The sequence below is a fragment of the Homo sapiens genome, chromosome 1 (assembly GCF_000001405.40).
Source record: "Homo sapiens chromosome 1, GRCh38.p14 Primary Assembly".
NCBI classification, from domain to species: Eukaryota; Metazoa; Chordata; class Mammalia; order Primates; family Hominidae; genus Homo; species Homo sapiens.
The window spans coordinates 93726571-93751404 of NC_000001.11; the positions used below are offsets into that span (position 1 = coordinate 93726571).

The window sequence follows — 24834 nt, forward strand, 5'->3', positions numbered from 1 at the left end:
CCTTCTTTAGTACCTTTGGATAAAGTTATACTTTTCTCCACATAGCTCTCACACTTTTGCCCACAATCTGGATTGTGTCTTATAGTTGATGGCATCTTGCAATTATAATTGGCAGTCTTTTTCCTTTCTTAGAGTGCATAAAGTCGTGGTTCATCGTATCACTGATGGTGTCTTAGATTCTATGAAATACACTACTTTTATTGCTTTGCAGTAGTATCTTTTTTAAAAAAACAAACCACTAAATTTCTGCCCACAGGTGGTGACTACAATTAATTTTTGTATATTGATTTTGTATTTATCAACAGCCTGTACTTCCTTTACTAACGAAGCTGAGCATCTTTCTACGTGTTTATCAAACATTGGTGTTTTTTCTTTGTGAAATGCCTGTTTTATGACTCCTTTCATCTTTTCTCTTGGGTTGTCTTTTTGATTTGTAGAAATCCTTGCAGAGCTTTTGTTTATCTAATAATTTTAAATCTGTTTTCTGTTCCTTCCATTGACTCTTGTACATGGTGGCTTTGTTTCCTTGCGCATTTTGCAGTCTTTCATTGTAAGCCTGCATTGTCATGGTCTTAATCTGTGGAACTATGGTCCTAAAGTGGGGATGCTTTCCTGCAGAGGGAGTTTGCATTTGCTTCTGTCTAGATCCAGATGATGCATTAATTTGGAACCACATAAGCCCCTTAAGAGGTCCCTGGATTTAATGTGGCAGCCTTACCTTACCTCTAGCCCAAGGCTTTTTCTTCTGGACTAGCTCCTAGATAGGCACTTACTCTCAGGTCAACTTTCACTCTTGGTTATTTACTGCTTTACCCAGGTTTAGTTTCAACTCTTGAATTTGGGTCAGAAAAGACTGGGAGAGAACTTAGGGATTCACCATACTTCTTGTAAGCTCGGCAATGTATTAAAAACTGGACTTTATTCAAGAATTTGGGATCCAGTCATTTTGTAATGGGAGAGTCCTTCAGCCTATCTGTGGCCATTACCTCTTGCCCTCCACTCACGAGGCAGGTACCTTTTAATCCAGACTGCACACTTTAGGTCAAACCATCAACTCTAAAAAATTACCATTACAGAAGTTATACATGCCTTCTGTACAAAATTTGGAATAAACAAAATAGTACAAAGAAGAAAATTAAAGTTACCTATAAATCCCATTCCCACCCTGGGATATAATCACTTTAATATGTTGGTGTATGCAGCAGGTTGAATAGTGGCCCCCCCAAAAGACACATCCACTTTGAAACCTGTAATTATAATCTTATTTGGAAAAACTATCTTTGCAGATGTAATGAAGTTAAGAATTTCAAGATGAGAACATCCTGGATTTGGGTGGGTCCTAAATCCAATGGCAAGTCCTTAGAAGAGACAGGGCAAGAAACAGACACAGGGGAGAAAGCCATGCAAAGACCAAGGCAGGATTGAAGTGATGCTGCCACAGACTAAGGAACGCCTGGAGCCACCAGAAGCTGGGAGAGGCAAGGAAGGATTCTCCCCTCTACCCTCCAGAGGGAGTGTATCCCCACTGACACTTTGATGTGAGGCTTTTGGCCTCCAGAATTGGAAGAGAATAAATTTCTATTGTTTTAAGCCATCAAGTTTGTGATAAATTTTTTACAGCAGCCCTAGTGAAATGAGAAATTCCTTTGTCCCCCTCGCAGGGCGTGTGACAGGGGGAGTGGCTCACTTCCTTAGTACCCCGCTGCTCAAACCTCTAGGGGAGCACACAGACGGGCAGGTCGTGGGGCTCCCACCCCATGGCAGTGTTGAGAGGTTGATGTTTACAGCTCCTGAAGCCCCAGTGGGCGTGTGTTACAGGGTGCTCTTTTAGTTTTGCTGTCTATAGGCGACTTGTGTTAACCAGTTCAATTAGACCCTCTACCCTGTTGCAAGGACAGAGGGCTTTCTGTATCCTGGGTTCTTGCCTTGGTGTACCAGAAGAATTGGATCACGCGTGGACTTGGAGAATGAGTGCAAGGTTTTATTGAGTGCAGATAGCTCTCAGCAGATGGGGAAGCCAAAAAGGGATGGAGTCAGGCTACTTAGCTGCCCGGGCTCTCCTCCAACTGTCCCAGCCAAACTCTGCCTTCTTCCAGTGCTGGTCAATGGCCTGCAGGCATGCCGGCATCTGTCATGCCCTCTTTTGCCAGCATACTTCCCTCGACGTCCTCTTGACATCGAGCCACTTGTGTCTTCCTCCACCGATCTGCTTCTCTCAACATCCAGCCATCTGTGTGTCTGCCTGCTAGGGTCTCAGGGTTTTTATAGACATAGGATGGGGGCGCGGCAGGCCAGGGTGGTCTTGGGAAATGCAACATTTGGGCAGGAAAAAAAAAATGCCTGTCCTCACTTAGGTCCGTGGGGGTGGAGCCATAGCCAGGGACCACGCCCTCCTCTACCCAGCACTTCCCTTCCCGGCTTCCCTATCATTTAAAAGGACCATGCTCTTCCTTTCTGTATCACTAGGACACTAACACATGGTATATCTGCTGTACACTGTATTTTCTAGGGTCAAATTCCCCAGGAAATACATTCTGAGGCAGAGATTTTCATGTAGGCAGTTTATTGGGGAATGCTCTCGAAAACCATACAGATGATCTGGACTTATGGGGTTATGTCCCTATAAACCTACTGTGAGTTGAAACTATCTTAAGTTGAAAATGCACCTAACCTACTGAACATCATAGCTTAGCCTTGCCTCCCTTAACTGTGCTCAAAACACTCACGTTAGCCTAGAGTTGGGGAAAATCATCTAGTATAAAGCCTATTTTATAATAAAGTGTTGAGTATCTCATGTAGTTTATTAAATACTGTACTGAAAGTGAGAAACAGAAAAGTTGTATGGCTACTGGAATTACGGGTTCTACTGAATGTAGATAGTTTTTGCACTGTCAAGAAGCCTAAAAATTGTAAGTTGAACCATCATATGTTGGGGACCAACCAGATCTGACATGCTGTGAGAGGAGTAGCACTGGGCAGAGGGGAAGTTGAACTGCAGTGCAGTTGTCACAGAGGCCTTAACCCACCCCACCGGAAGCCCTGACGCTGGGATGGCTTCTCAGAGTTGTCTGAGATTGAGGCCAGGGAGCCAGGCCTTGATACCTCTGCATCAGCCAGTCATCAGGAGGGGTATACTGTGGGTGGGCAGCTCCCCTCAGAAGAAGGCAACGTCTGGGATGTCCTGGCTGTGAGCCCTCAGTGGGCACCACTCCAGCATCTGGGGAAATGAGAGCCTCTGTCCTGAGATGGAGAACTGGGGCCACATCAGCTTGCACTAAAATAACCTTCCAGTCATTTCTACGCTTCTCTCTAGTACACATTTTCAGTTTTAGCACTTAATTTCTGAAACACTTGAATCTTATGCATGTTTATATATAAATTTAGCAGAATATTAAAGCATAAATCTATTATCAAACACTAGTGCATTTTATGTCTTAAATTGTATAGAACAGGCTTATTTTAAGAAAGTAGAACTATTCCATATGACTAAATTATCATGTGATTTTTTTCCCAGGAAGCAGTTTTCTTTCCATATAAGCATCTCTCAGTTCCTCCAGATGTCCCTCTTGACACTAGTTTGTTTTTAACACATATTATTCTCGCCTGGTGAGCTTTTCTCCTTGGAAGCCCTCCCTGTCCCTCCCCCGCCAACACCTGGCTCACTCCTGCCCATCCTTCACGTCCACAGAGAGGCCTTCACTGACTCCCCTTACCCGAGCTCTCTGACAGTACCTGGAACTTTCCATCTTATTGCTCATCACGCTTGTAATTGCTGCTTCAAAACTGGGCTGACAGTGGGTGTGCAGAGATATCTGGTTAACTGCATGGCATTCCAGCCCGCCACACCTGGGACCTAGATTGAGTCTTATTTGCCACTCCACACCTTCAGCACCCAGCAGAGTGCTGTACATTTGTGGTCCCTTGCTAAACATTTTTGAATGACTCTGTGATTTTACACAGTGGTTACATGTTTATACACATACGTCCTGTACTCTGCATATCCAAATCGCTTTCCCTCATACCAAGGAACTGAAAACCCCCAGGGTATGGCCCTGTTAGATGCTCTACTTGAGGTCTGTGGCACCAACCTGGCAAAATCCACACATCCAGCACCACTGACCTTTTAGTAAGTGCTGGAGGGAATGTCTGAGTTACTTAAAAAACATGTCTGGGATCTCCCCTACAGAAGATTCCAAGTAATATGTGTCGGTACTCCCTCATCCGGAAGGTGGAGCTTACCTCCTTCCCCCACCTCCCTTGAGTGTGGCTTGCTTCAGAGAGTACAGAATGGAAAGTGGGGAAAGAACTTGGCAGTAGAGAACCCTGGCAAACACTCCTCAGCTAGGTGATCCAGGTGAATGGACATCAGGAATAAGTCATGTGGGCAGCATGTGCCCTTGGTACATTGTGATGAGAAAGGTACTGCACCTCTGTGGTCTTCCTCCCCAGAATTCATAACCTTAGTCTAGCCATGGGAGAAGCAGCAGACAAATGAAAACCAAGGGACAATCTACAAAACACCTGACCAGTAAGTACTCTTCAGAACTGCCAGTGTCATCAGAACAAGGAAAGTCAGAAACAGTCAGAAACAGGCCAGAGGAGGCCAAGGACGACTCTGTGCAGTGTGGTATCCTGGATGGGATTCTGGAACAGTAAAGGACATGGGGAGAAAACTAGTGAAATCCAAATAAAGGGTGGACTTTACTTACTAGTATAATGTACCAGTATTGGTTTCTTAATTGTGACAAATATTCCATGGGAATATAACAGGTTAACAACAGGGAAACTGAGTGAGGATTCTATGGGAATTTCCTGTACTATCTTTGCAACTTTTCTGTTTATCTAAAGCTAGTTTGTTTTTTCTTTTTTTCCAATCTAGGAGAGGCACAACAACGATTCTATGCCAGGGGAAAGCCGCTGGGCCTGCTCCGCCCTCCAATTAACCCATTTTATCTGAGAGGCTGGAAAGGAAGAAGGTACAAGGCCAGGGGCTCAGCTATGAAAACATGTTCTGAATGGGATAAAAACAGCAGTGGGAAGCCTCTGTCTTATATAAATAAATAGTAGATGTTAAAGTAAAATAAAATAAAATAAAATAAAATAAAATAAAATAAAATAAAATATTTCAAGTGCCACCTGAATCCAAGCAATTTTCTCTCCCTTTGGCACAGTGCATGGCTGAGAGATTACAAAATGAGATTCAAAATCTCCCAAACAGTCCTTTTCAGGCATAGTGCCCCAAGTGCCTGGGGAGTAGGGAGTGGGAATATTATCCTCCCAGATTTCAAGGGGCCTTCCCCTCACCTGCCCCCACTGCCTCTGGGCAAAGAGAAGGAAGGTAGCAAGGGCTCTGATCCTGGAGATGGTAGAAGCAGAGGCCCCGTGGGTGAGGCTCAGAGGTGGGCCTGGCAGGCAAAGCTGGGAAACAAGACCAAAAACAGCAAACCGCGTGGACAGCTGACTGTCCATGTCTGCACATCCAGGAGAGACTCTACTCTCCAGGGAAAGTGAGAAAGAAAAAGAGAGAGAATTGGCATATTTAGGGAATAGAAAGAGGTTCACAGAACGGGTGGCTTCACAGTGTGGAGCCAAAATTAGCAGGGCTAGTGTTTAGGACAGGGCCCTGGGGGTGAAACCTGTTCCTAGACAACGTGTCCAGTGCCAGAAGATGCTTTGTAAAGCCAGAAAGCCTCAGGACAGACAAATCAGCACCAAGAGGTGGAGGGAGACAGAGAATGAAAGAGGTTTGAAATGGAAGATCTGGCCAGGTGCAGTGGCTCATGCCTGTAATCCCAGCACTTTGGGAGGCCAAGGTTGGTACATCACGTGAAGCCAGGAATTTGAGACCAGCCTGGCCAACATGGCAAAACCCTGTCTCTACAAAAAATACAAAAATTAGCCGGGAGTGGTGGTGGGTGCCTGTAATCCCAGCTACTCCCAGAAGGCTGAGGTACAAGCATCACTCGAACCTGGGAGGCAGAGGTTGCAGTGAGCTGAGATCACACCACTGAACTTCAGCTTGGGTGACAGAGCAAGACCTTGTCTCAAAAAAAGAAAAAAAAACGAAAAGAAAAAGAAAAGAAAAGGAAGATCTGATTTGAAAGGACTGAGAAAAACGACTTCAGCAGTTGCCTTGAGGCCCCCTAGGGGAGATCCCACCGTCCTTCAGCCTTGATGCCTTCTCCAAAACCCCAAACTGCAGAAAACAGCCTCAGGAAAGTAAAGAGATCTCCCCTCCTCTCAACCTGCCTGACTTCTCAGGGCAGCAATTTCAGAAACCTTTGATACAGACTGAGAACTGCACAATGGTGCCCCTTCCTCCTACACCTGCAGCAATGATCATTTCTAGACAAAGACCAGCTAAACACAAACAATAACTACAGAAGGAGAAGCATTTGCACTGCATTCAAACTATTAATGGAGTTAATATCTGAGTCCCCCAGCAAAGAAAGCAACACGAAATACAAAACTGAGACCAATGCAGCATTTTACCAGGTCTTCTACCAGAGCAGAATTTGGGACTATGGATCCTTGCTAGACTCTGGGTCTCGGCTGCTTTCTTTTTTTAAAAAAAAGTCCCTGAGGAATAAGTGCACTGAAAACTCCAAATATTCTAGCCCCTCCCCACCAGCAGCTGAAGATTTGTCTCCTACTCAGGCCCGCCTGAGGACAAGTTCCCTGGAAGTACAGACACACCAAACCAGAAGAGTCACAGGAAAGATAAAGATGCCCCGGCTTACTTAGTATTTTGGATTTTTTTGTATGTCCCCCCACCCCCCGACCCACCTTACAAGACAGTGGGCAGGACAGTGGAGGGGGATTAAGGACAAAATGCCCAGGAACAGGAAGCCGGTGTTCAGGAGGAGGGTTGCGCTGGGGGTAAAGGAGAGTTTAGAGGGGACACACAGGGCTCTAGCGGGATATCCCCCAGGACTTGATTGGGGCAGCTGCCTCCCAGTGGGGTGGTGAGGAGTGACAAAGCCTGCCTTCCTTGGAAGGAACTTTGCGTACCCCAGACAAAAGGCACAGTGTAAACACAGGTCAGTACCCTTTTCTCTACCCAGAGACTTCAGCACAGCTGGATGATGTGTGTGTGAGAGTGTGTGCACACGCATGCACCTGTATGGGCACTCTTAGAACATATGTGTGCACACATGTGTATGCACGTGGGTTGTGTTTGTGTGTGTGTGCATGCATCTACCCTTCTCCAGATCCTCTCATTTTCTCAGAGCCCTTGGCCTGTTGGGGACTAGTATAAAGGTTATTCAAACATTCTTTTTTCTTTTAAGCATTAGGCCAGATAGGCATAGTAGACAAGTTAATTTGAAAAGCAGAATCTAAAACCAAAATCCAATCTCTGAGGGGTAGAAACCAGTGACTTTTCTCCTAAATATCTGGCCTTATTGGATTTCTATAGGGAGAACTGGGTTTTCTTTGGAGGAGAAAGTTCCAGGCTGCTGAGCAAATGTAGGCTGGCTGTCTCTCTCAGCTGGCAGACAGGATGAAGACAAATAATAATACACATTCGTAATTACATGGCCTCTTCAGATGGAGTTCCAGGTGTCTTATGTGCCTCATCTAATCTATATTCACAACATTTGTGAAGTATGCAAGAGTACTGACATGAAGTTTCAAGGCGCACATTTGTGTTTGGTTCATAATCATGTCAACTAGAAGTGACTGCATTATCTTTCAGTGCAGTGTTCCTCAAACTGGAGTGCATGGATATATTTTCAGGATGCATTGGATTCCCTAGTTTAGGAAACATTGCTCTATGACTTCAGCATTCTGGTAGGATCTGTCACATGGTGTGGTTGAACCTGAGGCCTGAGCTGGAAGGAAATGGTGGGACTGCAATAGGGTGGGTGGCTGGCTCCTGCAGTCACTGAGGCCAAAGGAGGGAGACACACAAGAGTGTGCTCTGACCTGGGCTGACGTCTGAGGAGGTCAGATGGGGTGGGAGGGGGTGTGGTGTTCCAGGGCAGTGGCGGTACCTGGGAACAGGTGGCAGCAGCAGTACAGCTTTGCATGGGCCACCCAGGGCAAACCATCTAGTGCAGAGGCTGTTACTTCCAGGCGGGGAGGGCCCCAGCAACGTCGGCAAAGCTATCTGTAGTTCCAGCACTCAAGGCAAATCAGGAAGCCAAGGCAGGGATTCAGAGATGTTACTGGGCCAATCAGAAGGGGCTTCAGAATAGCGGGCACACAGAGGATGCCCATTCCTGGCATCTGACACCATGTTAAGGCAGCACGGGGCTTTCTGTGCGAAACGCTTTCCTGTGGCTGACTCCTACTCACCCTTCAGTTATCATACTAAATGTTAGTTCCTCTGAGTGGTCCTCCCTCACTCCCAGACTAGGTTAACCTCTCTACCAGACACCCATGATAATCTGCACATCCCTTTGCATTCCTTCTTCTATTGGTGGTTAGCTTCTTGGAGTTTGTTTAACTGCTCTGTAAGCTCCTTGAGGCAGGGATGGTGCCTATCTTGCTCACTGTGGTGTTCCCCATCACTAGCAGAGTTCTAGACACATAACAGGGCTCAGTAGATATTTGTTGATGCAATGCAAACAATGTGAGTTTTAGGCCCTTTGGGTTTGGTGGATCCGGGCCTCTGGTGCCCCCTCTGGCCTGGTCAGAATTGGCTTGGACCTCAGTGTCAAAAGCTGAGCAGCAATCATCTACACAAATGCTCTTTCACATGTGGAACCACATTCCAAAAGCCTGGATTGTGGGATGATTTTCCATGTGATTCTCTGGATCTGACTGTCCAGATAAGGACCCTCCTCTCCCACTCCTCACATGGACTCCACTCAAAGCCGTGAGCTCTGTCATGGCAGACAACATGGGATCATTTTGAGAACTTCCCAAACATCAGGCACTTTTGCTTTCGGAGACCACATCCCATATTAAAAAATTATTAAAATGTGCTCCACATGAAATAGAACATATATAACCACATCAGAGTTGAGCTCAGATGCAGCTGGCTAGTTGGAATCATTTTATATTTTGTAGACATTTAATTCAATTTATCAATTTTGATTCTGGAGTTTCCTTTCCTTATTTTGAAAAATACATATAGTTTTTCAAGTCTCAAAAATCTTTACAGGCCCATGAAAAGCTCATTTATCCATTTATTGCATAAAGTGGTCTTGAGATAATATTCTCAGAGAGAAAAGATGATATTTTGGACCAAGGCAGCTCGCTTCCATGGCCTGCGCCAGTAAATAAGCTTCTAGCTTCCACTGGTAGGAGCCAAACTTCCTTAGGAGTTTGAAGCACAGCATTTGGTGGCCTTCCTATGGATTCTGCAGGCAGAGCAGAGAAAGAACATTCCTGCCACCAGAATTGAGGGTTGTATCTATGAGTGGGTGGTAAGCCCTAGTTCCTAAATAAGGTATTTGGAATGCAAAACAATCCAGCCAGACTAGTCACTGCACACTGACCACAGTGTGAAACTTGGAGCATCTGGGAGAGAGAAAACAGACAGCGTGGTAGGAAGAAAGAGGAGCTAGTATAATTATTGAATTAAATTAAGAAAAGAATCATGCAATTCCATTTTAAAACAATAAATTGAACATTCAATTGTATGAAGAGATGTGATAAGAAGTTTATTTATTTATTTTTTGTTTTTGAGATGGAGTTTCACTCTTGTTGCCCAAGCTGGAGTGCAATGGCGCGATCTCGGCTTACTGCAACCTCCACCTCCCTGGTTCAAGCTATTCTCCTGCCTCAGCCTCCTGAGTAGATGGGATTACAAGCGCGTGCCACTGCACCCAGCTAATTTTTTGTATTTTTAGTAGAAACGGGGTTTCATCATGTTAGAGGCTGGTCTCAAACTCCTGACCTCAGGTGATCTGCCCGCCTTGGCCTCCCAAAGTGCTGGGATTACAGGCGTGAGCCACCGTGCCTGGCCAATAAGCAGTTTAATTATAAAATATGCCAGACACTCTACTAAGCCCTACAGAATGGTAGGTGCCCTCAAACTGTTCATGTATGTAGACAGAAATATGTGTGATTCCTTTGCATAATATGGTAATGGAACAAAGAATACCAGCAATAATTATGGGGGAATGGACAAGAAGACAGTAACTAATATGGCACTAAGGGGGTCCAGGAAGATTTTACAGAGATGATGGCCTCGTCACTGGATTTTGAAGGATAAAAGAAACTATTCCAAGTGATAAAAGGAGGGAAAAAATTCCCAGGAAAAGTAGGCAAAATGAGCAAAGCTATGAAAATAAAAAATCATCATGGTTAACTTTCGTTGAGTGCTTTCTGTGTGCTGGGTTTTGTTAGGCTTTTGCATTTTATGCTATAGACCTTTCTGAAAGCATGGTCTACGGTCCATCTGCATCAGAATCATCTTACGCATGTTGAAATGCAGATTCCAGCTTCTCCTGTTGGATCAGAAGCTCTGGGATGGGGCTCTCTAACCTGAGTTTTAAGAAGCTCTCCAGGTGATCCTTTTGCACACTCAAGTTTGAGAACCACTGCTAGAAGCCATTTAGATATGTGACCATTTTTAAGTTGTGGAGTGCTGTGGTCAGATTTGCTTTTCAGAAAGCAAATTTTTGAGCAATGTATGAATTGGAGAGGGGAAAGCCTCAAAGCAGAACAGTGGTGATGGTGAAAGTCTGGAGTAGAGAGATAGCAGTTGTACTGGGTTGAATGGTGTCCCCCAAGAATTCCTGTTCACCCAGAACCTCAGAATGTGATCCTATTTGGAAATAGGGTCTTTTGCAGGTGTAATTAGTTACGATGAGGACATAGTGGATTCGGGAGGGCCCTAAATCTAGTAATTGATGCCTATATAAGAAAGAGGAGAGAGAGATGTACCTAAGCACAGAGAGACACACAGGGAAGAAGCCATGTGACAACAGAGGCAGAGCCTGGAGTGATGCAGCTACAAGCCAAGGAATGTCGGGGATGTTGGCAATCACCGGAAGCAAGGAGACAGGCACAGGATGGTTCTCCCCTTGGAGTCTCCAGAAGGAACCGACCCTGCTGACATCTTGATTCTGGACTTTTGGCCTCCTGAACTGTAAGAATAAATTCATGTTGTTTTAAGCCACCCAGTCTGTGGTCATTTGTTACAGCAACCCTAGGAAGCCAATACAGTGGTATCAAGAGGCATTTCAGTGGCAAAATCATAAGGACATAGGGATCAGATTGGAGAAAGAGTGAGGTATGAACAATTAATTATTCAAAAGTTTCTGTTTGGGTGGTCAATGATGAAACTGTGCAACAATAAAGCATGGGCTTGGGGTAATTTTTTTCAAGATGGGCTCTTGCTCTGTCACCCAGGCTAGAGTGCAGTGATGTGATCATAGCTCACTGTAACCTTGAAATCCTGGGCTCAGGTGATCCTTCCATCTCAACCTCACAAGTAGCTAGGATAAGCAAGCACAACCATGCCAGCCTTATTTTTTTATTTTTATTTTTTAAAGACGGGGTCTTGCTTTGCTGCCTTGGCTGATCTTGAACTCCTGGCTTGAAGCGATCCTCCTGCCTTGGCCTCTCAAAGTGCTGGGGTTACAAGCATGAGCCACTGCACCCAGCTCCTGGGCTTGGATTTAGAAGATCAGAGTTTAATTCAAGCTTTGAAATCTACCAATAGTAAGGTGGTGGAACCTTAGTTTTTTCATCTTCAAAGTAGGGACAATATTACTCACCTCATAGTATTGTTATGAGGATTCAATGACATATCATCAAGAAATGTGGACATTCCTGACACTCAATACTTTCATGCTCATTTCCAAAAAGGGAAATTTAAAATGAAATGAAATTGAGGAGAATAACTTGTCTAATAGGCATTCCCAAGCCACAGTTACCACCTCAATGCACTCTGAGCCTACCCTGCAGGCCGGTGATGGAGCTAAGCTTGTGCTCCGCCCTCCCCCGCCATGGGTCTCAGTGCCAAGGATGAGCTGCACTGGGAAGGAATGCACAGAGGTCCCGGCAGAGCTGACCGCAGGTCGGAGATGAGTCTCCGCCTGGCACTGGCATCTTCCATGGTGGTTAACAGCTTGTCTGTGAAGTCCCCATCAGAGGGCTGGGCAGGGCAGGGCAAGGCAGATCAGCAGCTAAGTCCAAGGAAGCCTGGTGGGAGATGCTGGTGGGGAGAGCACTGGTCGGGGAGCAGTTACAGTCATTAAGAAGCCAGTCCTGAGTCAGCCAAGACAGGGTGGGGCGGGGGGTGCCAGGGTTAGGACTGGGGGTGCCAGATAAAATACAGTCTATCCAGTTAAATTTGAACTTTGTATTTATTATTAGTTGAATCTGGCAACTTTAGTTAGGACCCTTCAGGTGAACAAAGGATAACCTGAGAGCCAGGGCCAGAGAATAGGAGCCGTGGGAAGAGCAGAGGGGCAAAGCCTTGGCCTCTGTCCTCTGAGGATATGTTTTCCTGACCCCACCCAAGCAACTGGTGGAAAGGCACCTGGCACTGCCTCTAATCTCCTGGAATTCCCACCTTGACTTGCTGGACAATACTGAACGTTTTTCGTCCTCTGTGCTGTAGGTGTTAATCTCCCAGGTTCTGCTCCCTGGGTTTCAAGCGGTACAACTGGGAAATAAACTTCCTTTCCCCAGGGAAATTGTCCTCTCTGGGTGGCATGGTTACATGACAGCTGCCGCAACCTTAGATGACCCCTACTCCAGTTAAGACGAGACATTTCAGAGCCACAGAGGAGCCTGTGAGATGGGAAATGCAGTGCTACTCAAGGATGGGTGAAAATTAGGGTTAAGTAGTGATTAGAATCAGTTAAGTGTTAATAGAAGGGGTGCCTAGATGTTCATATCTCCCAAATTTAAGGACCTCTATATTTAAAAAAGAACTAGTAATGACTGATTAAAATCTTTATGTTTTAATCTTTTAATACAGTATTAAAATATTCTAAAATAAAAAATGACCAAAAATGTATAGTGTCATCTTTGACCCAGTTAACCTTGCCTATAGAAATGTAGCCTCTTAGAACGCATGCAGGGCCCTGAGCTGGAAGGATCCCACAGCTGGTTTAATGCTCTGCGATTGTCATCTTGCAATTCTTAATAACTTTAGAATGAGGCCCTCCCTACATGTTCATTGTGCACTGAGCCCTACCAATTACGTACTCAGCCCTGCCCTAAGGGGATGGAATATGCCTAAAAAATGAGTACAGTACATGGAAGAAAAGAGCTGGCCAGGTGCAGTGGCTCATGCCTGTAATCCCAGCACTTTGGGAGCCTGAGGCGGGTGGATCACCTGAGGTCAGGAGTTTGAGACTAGCCTGGCCAACATGGTGAAACCCCGTCTCTACAAAAAATATAAAAAATTAGCCAGGCATCATGGCCCATGCCTGTAATCCCAGCTACTCGGGAGGCTGAGGAAGCAGAATTGCTTGAACCTGGGAGGCGGAGGGTGCAGTGAGCCGAGATCATGCCACTGCACTCCAGCCTGGGTGACAGAGTGAAACTCCGTCTCAAAAAAAAAAAAAAGAAAGAAAGAAAAAGAAAAGAGCCTCCGAAATACCAGCCCAAATTTGATACGTGGTGGCACAAAATCACAACAGGAAGGCATTTTCATCTGGGGAGAAAAGTCAAGTCAACTCCGGCAGGTATCTTGTCACCCAGGAAGCTGCTCATGGTGACACCAAATGCCGACAACAATGGCTAGGTGTGTGTGGCATCCAGGCCTAGGAAACTCAGCATGTCCACAGAGATGTTCTTTCCCACAGACACAGGCGTTAACAGCACAAAGTCAAAGGGGCATGCTGTGGAGGGAGAGGCTTCCAGCCTCAGCCACAAGCTGGGCCATCCACTTTTAACTGCACAGAGAGCAGCCTCTAGATCCTCAGACAGAATCTCCCTGCAACCCCAGTCCCATCAGTCTGTCAGGGTCTGTCCTCACCCAAAGACAGACTTGCTCAGTGGGCCCTGGGTGGGCCTGAACTTCCAGCAAGATGCAGGGAGACCACTAACAGGAATGGGTCCTTGAGCTTGTTGTCCACTCTGCTCACTCAACATTCTTTCCTTCTTTTGTCTTCTGCTTAGTACTCCCCTCACCCCACATGCTGGCCCCTGCTCCTTCCCGCCCCAAAAACCCTGATGCATCTAGATTCCCACAGGATCAGTCGCTCAGCGGAGCAGAGGTCAGGGAAGAGGCGGCCTTTCCCATCCTTTTTGTTCTAGTCCAGCAGCCCGGCCTAATATCTTTGCTATCTTAGGTGATAGGCATTAGGGACTAGCTGCCAAGCAGAGAAGCCAAGTGGGAAATTCAGTAGGGCGGGCTTTTTGTTTATTTCTAATAGGAAGTTAGGAATTAGCCGAAAGCACTGGCTGTGTTTCCAGCTGACAGCCTTGTGTTCAGCCCTTAGATGCAAGCGCGTCTGCCGACTTCCATATCCTCTGCAACCGGCTTTATTGACAACAGCTGCAGATGGCCAGGGTGAAAGCGTGGCTTTTTGCCTGCTTGTCTCTGAGCTAGAGTCCTTGCTCGGCTGACATCAAGTGACCAGTGCCTAAATCTGTTAGGTGGCTTCAGGAAATATGCTCAATGGAGCCAGAAATGTAATTTAGAATGTGGCACTTGAAGGAAGTTGTAACTAACATCAGTTAATGGTAGGGGTTAGTGGTTAGGCCCCAACATCCCAATGACAGCAACGGCAGCAGGGCCCAGACTTTTATACTGGCTTGCAACTTGGGGAAAACATGCTGAATAATAACAGCCTATATTATTATTAATGCCTGATACCTCCACAAAGCCATTACAGTTCAATATCAAGATCATGGACTCAGGTCAGACTGTTTGTGATGCCTCACTGTGACACTTGTTAACTCTGACCATGGGGAAATTACTCTCTGTGCCCGGGTTGTCTTTTCAGTAAAACAAAGATGATGAAAGTGACTACTTCATAAGGTTGTTGTAAGGATTAAATGAGCTAATATTCATAAAGCACTTACAATAATGCTTAGCACATAGCAAGTGCTCAATAACTGGAAGCTATTATTTTATTTTATTATTATTATTATTACTGGAGACAGAGTTTCACTCTTGTCGCCCAGGCTGGAGTGCAATGGCGCTATCGGCTCACTGCAACCTCCACCTCCCGGCTTCAAGTGATTCTCCTGCCTCAGCCTCTCGAGTAGCTGGGATTACAGGCGTGCACCACCACACCCAGCTAATTTTTTTGTATTATTAGTAGAGACAGGGTTTCATCATGTTGGCCAGGCTGGTCTCATACTCCTGACCTCAGGTGTTCCACCCGCCTTGGCCTCCCAAAGTGCTGGAATTATAGGCATGAGCCATCACTCCCGGCCTTATTTTTTAAATTTAATCTTCACAATGATGTGGTAAGGAACGCATATTGACAGATTAAAAACTAGCTCCAAAGAGGTTAAATCATTTGTCCATCTAACCCAGATGGTAAGTGATGGAGTCTTAATTTAAATCAGAGCCCGTGTACCTGCCTCCACCACATGGTGTTTCAGTGTAGACAGGAGAATGGAGAGTTGTCTGGGTCTGGCATCTCCAAACAGTGTTCCTCACTCCTAAAATATCCCTTTGAATTTATCCAGGGCACTGGAGAAGGGAAGGTGAGTGGTGCAGGGTATCAGAGTGAAGACGTCTCTTTTGAAGAGCTATTTGCTAACCAGAAGACTTAGGAATAGGAGAATTAAGGTGAGGGACATTATGCTTGCTGGATTATGCCTCCTGCTATAATCCAAAGAGCTCTCTGGAGTGAGAATTCAGCAAGCAGAGTTGCTCCATGTAACCACCAAAACTGTGTCTTTATAGTCTTAGGAAGAAAGTGGAAAACTACAGTTCAAAGTTTAAAGCAAGAGGCTTATTGACTCCTGAGTTGACTAGGTGCTAATAGTTTCTGATAATCTCCCAAATCTCAGTTAAGTGTTCCTCACACAGGCTGTGATTAAAACCTGCTACTCCCAGGGGACCCTGGAAACGTTCTCTCCGTTTGCCAGGTTCCATTTTCTCTAATTGGCTTGCACACCTGGGTCTGCTTAAAATGGGATTTTCACCCATTAGAAGCAGTTTTCTATCTACACAGATTTCATCCTTGTCATCTGTTTTTGGTGAACTCTTTCCCATGCTGAATTAGTCTGGGAATAAAATTGCTGGTACTAAAAGTCTCTTGTATTTAAAACCACTGACAAGACCTTCCTAGGTTTCTGCTGAAGTAGATTATTTTACAAATTGAAACAGGGGTCTTTTTTTGTAAACCTACTATTTCAAAAACAACAAACAACAAACCCACATATAATTATTTCAGAAATGCTACCACACAGAAAAGAAATCCTCTTGCCAAAATGTCATCATATAAAGAAGGGAACTGAAGAAAGGGCATGTGTTGAAATGCCGCCTCTTTCATACTGAGTAGAACTGGAAAGAAAATGAATATTCTGCTTAACTCCATAAGCCTTTTTTCAAATCATTCTTTATTTTAAAAAATGCAATCTATTTTATTAAATCATATGTATTGAATCATAAGCAGTCAAATTCTTTATATAGGTTAATAAAAAATATTTGATCAGTTTTTGTTATCAGAAAAAAATGTTGATACAGTGCCAAAGTGAATACAGTTGAGAGATTACTGGTTTGGGTAACAGAAGACCTGTGTTTTTAATACAGGTGCTAGGTGTATTTAAAACAATTATGCTGTGTATTTTTTCTTAAAACATTTCATCTAATAGGGAATGAGAAATAGACCATAAATTAATTAATCGCACTTTCTCAAAGTTTTATCATCATGCAAGAGAGAAAAATTGAGTCCAGAAAAAAGACAGATCTGGAGGTGACCCTTCCAGATCAGTGGGCTAGTAATACAGGCAGAGCTTAAGAGTCCTGTAAACAGCCCCAATTGCTCCATAAATCTCACATATTCCAGCTTAGTTTCCACTGCTCTGGAGCATACAGCCTCTGCATTGGGAGGTTCATAAAAAATAAATTCATTTAAACTTACCAAATATTCCCTGTACACTGTTAAAACATGGACCTCAAGGGAGAAAGCGCTGATATGGTTTTTCCTTGAGACACCTGTCTAATTTGGATCTAAGCACATGGTGTTTTCCCAGGTTAACTCTGTTTGAAAAATGTTGTAGGGACTTTGCTAAGAGCACTCAATCAGCCAGGAAGTACAGACAAGCTCATTCTTACCCAGCTACAACTAAGTACACTGACTACATTATTTGTCTATAATGTAAATAGGTATTTATTTAATGTGTCTCTTTGTATAAAGATCATAGATTGGTCTGTGTGCCTGTCATTTCTCAGTCCACATTACTGTTGTCTGTTTCTTAAAAAGAAAGGTTAAGGCTAAATGGTGCCAACAGTATGATATCACGATGTCACATAAAAGGATGCTAGGGAAGGGCATGGGGATGTGTAGTGGGAGGGGACAGAAAGTGCAGGGAAGACCCATGGATCTAACCTAGCCAGGCCTGATTAGCCTGAGGCCTGGGAGGCAGCAGGCTGTATGCAAGAATAGCCCCCACCACCCACACTGTACATTACAGTTACCCAGGGCATTCATATCTGCAATCTCCCCTCACCCTAGCAATGGCCCTGTTAGGTAAGCATTATTATCCTCACTTTACAGATTGGAAAGCCAAAGCTCAGAGCATGATGAGAGTCTTAGTCACATTAGAATTTAATGGCAAAATCATTTATTCCCAATGGTGCTTGATTGCAGGGTTAGGCCCAGGTAAAGTATGAAGTTGGCAAGCTGTCCTGATCAGTCCCTTTCTTCCTCCTGAGGATACGTTTCAACAGGGGTAAATACCCATAAAATGAGCCTACTTTAGAGGTAGTCATATTGAGAAGACCATGTTGCTAATGTAAAGTGCTTCTCCGATAGTAGCACTTTACATTAGCAACAAATGAGTACAAGAGAGAATCTGGGACCTTCCTTGGATCTCTCTCAGTCCACCAATCTGTATTGTATGATGAAGAGGCTGGCCCTTCTGCATACACAGGAGCTAGAGCCCTGCTCAAGGCAGAGGTAAGCTGGGTTTGAAAGCTAGAAGCATCCTGAGCTTCCCTCTGGGCTCTCTCAGGCACATCCCATGAAACGTTTGTCTTTCCCACTGTACTGTCGATCATAAAGGGGACCAAGCCTGAGGCCAGCAGAAACCCCTGTCCCGCCTTCCTTGGCTCAGTTCTCTAGACCTCCCTCACTGACATGATTTATTGCTTTCATTAAACAGGATTCTCAGTCAAACGCAATGGGTTTCATGTCTTCCCCACGAGGAAATCCCCTTAGGAAGAAAGCTGCCATGGTGTCTGAGAGAAGAAAGAAACTACAAATGAAAGAGATTTGCCCAAACTGCAGTTTCTCTTTCCCCTTCCAGGCCTTCTCTAATTTTACTTTGAGCTGGGCCAAAACCCAAAGGCATTTCTTTTTTACTTAATTACCTCCAGGGAACCATAGCTAGAAATCAGGCAAGCACATGTCTACCCTACCCAGCAGGTACACTCTTGTTGGATGGCTGGGGTCAGAAGTTTTATGGGTGACAGCAACTCTCTTTCCCACAGACAAACAGACTCTTTCAAAGAGTCAGTGATGGAAAGTCTCCCAGGTGGAGCCCACCATGTGGGGCAGAAGCAGATGCTCCAAGAACCTGCTGGTTTGGCCATGTGACTGGGAGTGGAGGGAAAGAAGTGATGCTGCCAGCTTGGCTGTGCAGATGGGAGTTGGCAGTTGGATTCAGCCTCTGCCCACCTCCAAGGAGTTAGGTGCTTTGAAGACCGATGAGTTCACCCTTCAGCAAATGAACAACAGCGTTTGTGAGAAGAGCAGAGGGGCCCATGGCTCAGTTGTTTCCAGAATTGCTTTGTCACAGGCCCTTGTGATTATTCAGAAATTACCAAATGTTAGCTTCTTGAGCTGAAATGTTTTATGCAAATTAAAGGTGGGAGATCAAGATGCTTTTATCTTTCTCCTACCCCCCACCATTTTTCTTCTCCTCAATGAATCCCCTCTATCACCAGCACAATCAAATAAACATTCCATAGCCTCTTGTCTCTTGCTACTTGATGTGCAGAAGAAAGTGTCCTGGATTCTCATCTTGTCTCTTCCAGGTGTTCATAACCAGGTGTGGGGTGGGGAGGCAGGGGTAGCAGGCAGGCAACCCTATCTACTTGTTCATTAGTTCCCCATCTGAAAAGTAAGGCTTTTAAGAAATTTTATAGCTGGGCGTGATTGCTCACACCTGTAATCCCAGCACTTTGAGAGGCCAAGGTGGGAGGATCACTTGAGACCAGGAGTTCAACACCAGCCTGGTCAACATAGTAAGACCCCATCTCTATTTTAAAAAATTAAAAACAAAACCAAAAATATTTTACTCTGGGCATGTTTCTGGGGGAGTGTGATAAGTGAAAGTGCTTAGAACTCTTCAGAAGATAGAAGCTTTTATTCACTTAAACATAGTATTTGTGTGAAACTAAAGGTGAGACAGAGGTCTTGGGATGATAGAAGGCTGCAACTTGCACGAAAAATTCAACAGAAGCCTAATGCTTTCCTTGTGCTCTACTGGGTAAAAGGCAGCTGGCTGTGGATCAGCTCAGGGATTTGCAAGCATGTGGGTAAGAAGATGTCAAGAGCATCTAACTTGCCAAGTCTTCTGGGACAGGCACAGAAGGGAGTGGCAGCAGCAGCCACCAGCCCAGGTCCAAAGGAATATGGCTGGGTGCCAGTCCTGTCTAGGAGATGGAAAGAGATGCACTGGGCTAAGATGCTACAAGGCTGTGCTCAATTCAAGCCTCCCACCCCAACCCTCACACCTCCCTCCAGCCTTTCAGGATGCCTCTTGAAGTAAACACTTGCAAACACTAGATGTAAAGTTGAGACCTTCTATGTTCTTAATCCTTAAAGAAACAGAGCTTCATGGGTAGTTTAGAGTCTTAAAAAGAACACTAATATCTTTTGTAGAACAGAGCAACTTTCTCAGAGCAGCAGAAAGGGAGAGGCCATTATTAAATTTGTTCTCCCCACAGCCTGCGGGCATCCTCGGTGAACACAAGGTTTGCCCAGCACGTACACCTGTAAATGTAGTCAAGGCGCCCCAGGCTCAAAAACCCAACTCCACACCCTACCATTCTGAGCCACTCCTTAGTTTCGACTTTCTCTTTGTTTTTCCCTTTGCAGTCAAATTGTCTTTAAAGGTGATCCACACTCTGTCTTCACTAACACAACTCCCACACTCCTGAGACCCCTGGAGTCTGGCTTTTACCCCCACTTGCCCCTGAAAATGCTCTCCCACAGGTGACTGGCTACCTCCTAACTGTCAAATCCAATGGCTGCTCAGTCCTGCTCAAAGCCCTCTCTTCCCAAGGCTTCTGCAACACTCCTACTCTTCTCAATCTCTTTTTATCTTGTTTCTTCCTTCTCCGTTTCCTTCACCAACTCTTTCTCCTCTGTCCCTTAAATATTGGCTTTCCTCAGGGCTGTGGTCTTGGTCTTCTTTGTTTTCTTCATTCTTCATATTTTTAATGGACATTTATCACTCTTTATGGCTGAGCAGCCCCTCTAAACAGGTTTCTTCTTTGAAGTCTCCACCTTAAGAGTTTAGGTGGGAAGGAGAGGTAGTCTGGATACTGGTTCCTGCTTCCCTTGCAGCTAGGGTGCACACATGCAACCTTGGCTCTGGCAACCAGATGCACCTGAAAGCCACCTTTGAATGGGAAACCAGGCTCAAAAGGCATGCACTGGTAGGCTCTGTTCAGGTGAGGACTGATGCTGCTATGTCCAGGTTCTAGAAGTAGTGTCCAGTGTCCAATAGCACAAGCTGTAGTGTCTGTGCCCAGCATTGTTGCAGACAGTATAGGGGCTACCCTCTACTTTCCACAGGGATCCTTCTCTTATACTTCCAATCTTGAGTAACAGCATCACATCATCCTATTTGCAGTTGCTGGTGTCTGTCTTCACCCAATGAGATTAAACGAACCTTGAACATATCTCTTGATTTTGTCTCCTCCCCTGTGTCCCACCACCACTATGTTAGTTTAGGGTCTCATTAGTGCTCACCTGCCCTATCAAAACAGCCTCCTAGTGAGTTTCCCTGCCTCTCGTCTCTCCCATTCCATATAATTTGAGCTGCTACCAGAACTGTCTTTCCTGAATGTAAATTGGACCTTGTTACTTTGCTCTTTAGAATCTTTCAGCACCTCTCTATTGCTTTGAGGATAAAATCTAAACCCTTTAGCATGACACTCAGGTTCCATCTCCTGCCACTTCCCCCAGTGTGCTATGCTCCAGCCATACCCAACTGCTTGTGTTTCCTGTACATGCCACACTGATGAAAACCTCTAGGCTTTTGTTTACTATGATCCTGGAGAGTCCTGCCTGCTCCAACATTACCTGCCAGCAGTAATGACCCATCAAGTGCCTCTGGTCCCAACTGAGAACCAACCCTGGTGGTTCATTGGAAGGCCCTCACCTTTAGTGAGTAGAAATGTCTGCTTCCCTGAGCCCTGGATCTAATGTCCCTAGAGTAAACAGAGTCCTAGGTGCCTCCTTTCTTCCTCATTTCCTAATTCATTCATTTATTTATTCAACACTTCTTTAGTGAATGCCCACTCAATATTAGGTACTGAGCTAGGTGCTGGGATTGAGCATAGAGAGATAGCCATTGCCCATCTTGGAGGGCAGAGTCAGCTGAATGTCCACTGTTTGGGGCTAGCTTGCTTGCCTGGGCTTTTGCACTGTCTTCTGAATTCCATTTCAGTGGCCAGCTCCCCCATACCCCACTGACCAGCACCCATCTCCCTTTTTACTCTCCATTCACGAAGGGTTGCATCCTAATTGCGATATCCTTTCCTTCACCTAACTTGATCTCCAAGTCTGTCATTTACCCATCCCCAAGAACTGTTTCCACCTAGAAGCCCTTAGCACTGCACCTGACTCCATCCCTTGGATCAGATACTTTGATTATTAATGCCATTCCAGACTGGACTTCGATCGGCCATATTCAATGATCTTGTGATTTTTAATTTCTGGCTCTTCATTAAAGGGAAGTAGCCCCTTTGGTCACCATCCCTCTCAATATTATTTCTCACTGCACCAATCTTCTTTTGTCCTTACTGTCTGCACAATTAAAAGCACCTCAAATACTGACCTATATATTCTTATTGTCTGCACAATTAATAGCACTTCAAATACTGACCTACATATTTTTCCATAGTGTCGCATGGCCTGGAACTCTATTCTTGCTTGACATAATGTTGTATACAAACCTGGCTTGTTCATTGTGGACTGTGTGTATGTCTCAGCCCTCCAGCTAGATTGGGGTACATGGGAATAGGAACTGTGTCCTATGCTTCTTTTAGCTCCCAGAATGCCCAACACAATGCTGAAGACAACGAAGGTGCTGAATCAACATTTGACTGGGTCCTCAAGTAGCCTCACCACCATAATGTGCCAGTTTAGTTTTAAAAACTAAATTATCATTAAGTTTAGAATTACAAGATGATCTGCATTAACTACAGGGCATTATATAGGTCTCAAAGCAATGTTACTATATCCTTCAACAAAACAAATAATGGTATGTGTGTGGGCCCCCACACACACAAACAAATAATGGTGTGTGTGTGTGTGTGGTAATTGCATATTAATCTCTCACTATGGCTTCCAGAGCCACTAATGAAGAACATACTTGGGTTTAAGTTTTGGTTAATGTTTCTTCATGGTTTTCCCTCTTATTACCCTTTCCTCACAGTATTTTTAAAAATATAAATCATGGGCTGGCCGAGGTGGATCACGCCTGTAATCCCAGCACTTTGGGAGGCCGAGGTGGGCGGATCATGAGGTCACGAGATCGAGACCATCCTGGCTAACATGGTGAAACCCCGTCTCTACTAAAAGTACAAAAAAATTAGCCAGGCATGGTGACAGGAGCCTGTAGTCCCAGCTACTCGGGAGGCTGAGGCAGGAGAATGGCATGAACCCAGGAGGTGGGGCTTGCAGTGAGCTGAGATCGCACCACTGCACACCAGCCTGGGTGACAGAGCGAGACTCCGTCAAAAAAAAAAAAAAAAAAGAAAAGAAAATCCAATCTCTAGAAACCCAAATTAACAAAACTGAAACTAGGAAGTAAATTTGCACAGGCGCCTTTACTAGGAAATTCCCCATTCTCACATTACTTTCAAGTCAATTTAAAATAGACTTAAAGTATAAATGTTTAATTTCCACTCACCAAATCAGGAACACAAGTATTACGTAAAGCAAATTGCACCTGCACAAATTTAGTAATTTTATACTCTTAAAAATCTTCGTTCTTGATATTTGCTCAGTGAGTAATTTGCTTAAAGATGATCTTGACTTATTTTTTTTTTTTTTTTGCTTCTCCTGCTTTGGTTGAAATGTTTCAGCTTAAAGATATATGATAAATGGGGGTTTCCTTATCTTAATATGAGGCACCAGAATTGGTCTCAGTTGAAGGAATTTGTACTACAATTGAGCAAAGATTATTCTTTCAACTCCTTTGATATTTGGCACCAGACCAAAGAATCTAAAATTAGCTGCCTTCAAGAATCCAGGTGTGAGCTAAGTGGAAGCAATTCAGTTTGGCCCAGGAAATCACAGAAGTTGTTCAAAGAGCAAACAGAGTTCTGATCAGACTGCTTCCTTCACTAAAGCCAACTGCTCAGGACTGCCTCCTTCAGCAAGGAACGGAAAACCACTGCATTTCAGGCACCAGCGAGGGCATCTTGTATAAACTCTTCATCTTGTAGCTCAGGGGAATGAAGTGGCAGCCTTTCCGAGGCTGTTTCCACATCTGCAAAATGGGATTTTGCTACCTGTCCTGCTCACCACTCAAAGGCACTGTGAGGATCAAGTGAATGTGCTTTTGAAACTGTAAACATTCTGTGAGCATAAGGCATTATTATTTTCTATAGTCACTATGACGGTTTTAAAATTCTTTAACAGTCTTCCCATCCAGAGCTGCCTTCTCTTTGAATACAGACAGCTGACCTTAGAGACTCACTTACAACCAACAGAATGCCACAACTTTCTGAGGCTAGGTCAGAAAAGGTGATTCTGCTTCTGCCTGCCTGGTTCTCTTGGGACACTTGCTCTGGGAGAAACCAGGCACTGTGTTAGAAGTCTAACTACCCTGAGACCACCACGCTGTGGGGAAGCCACACAGGGAGGCCACGTGTAGGCCCTCTGGCTAGCAGTCCTAACCAACAAGGCCCTCCCAGGTCAGGCTCAAGACATGTGAGTGAATGAGCTTTGAGGTGATTCCAGGTTCCAACAGTCAAGATACCCTGGATCTTTACCCTTCCCAGATGATGCCCCAGATATCGTGGAGCAGTGATGAGTCCTCTTTGCTGTGCCATTTCTGAATTTCTGACCCGCAGAATCCATAAGCTTGATAAAAAATAGTTGGGGTTTTTCTGCCACTAAATTTGTGCTGTGTGTGATGCAGCCATCGTAATCAGAACAGTCACACTGGGTAACAATGACCATGGTAACCAAGAAACACCACCAAACGCCCGGCACACCGGCAAGCCCTGCACACTCACCTCCCTTCATCCTGACCAGAACTCAGGGAGGAAGTCATCATTTTCCCTTCACACAGTGAGGAAACTGAAGACCAAGGGGCTAACAACTTCAGTTCCATGGGGAGGAAGTGGCAGAGCTGGGGCTGATACCTCGGCTTGGCTTAACTGCAAAGCCCACCCCTAAGCTGCAGCTGACTCCTCCCATGCAGTGGGTGACAGGAAGACTGTCAACATAAACCTCTGGACTTCCACTCTGACGGCCTTTCCCTTATGCCCTCATCTATTTGGTTCCCCTGGTTCCTCTCTTTTCCCACTTGCTACCTACAATACCC

At 45.0% G+C, this 24834-nt stretch overlaps 1 protein-coding gene across 12 annotated transcripts in view, besides 1 other annotated feature; it reads right to left on the reverse strand.

Annotated features, from left to right (window-relative positions):
• Positions 1 to 24834, reverse strand: part of BCAR3 (BCAR3 adaptor protein, NSP family member) — a 286411-nt gene that overhangs the window by 164830 nt on the left and 96747 nt on the right. The gene's annotated exons all lie outside the window — the stretch shown is intronic.
• Positions 10998 to 12197: an enhancer, noted in NCBI's record as "P300/CBP strongly-dependent group 1 enhancer chr1:94203124-94204323 (GRCh37/hg19 assembly coordinates)". NCBI's record gives its function as "activates an origin of replication core promoter dependent on BRD2, BRD4, P300/CBP, MED14 and CDK7 cofactors, with strong dependence on P300/CBP, by STARR-seq in HCT116 cells {active_cell/tissue: HCT116}" and the evidence as "EXISTENCE:reporter gene assay evidence [ECO:0000049][PMID:35650434]".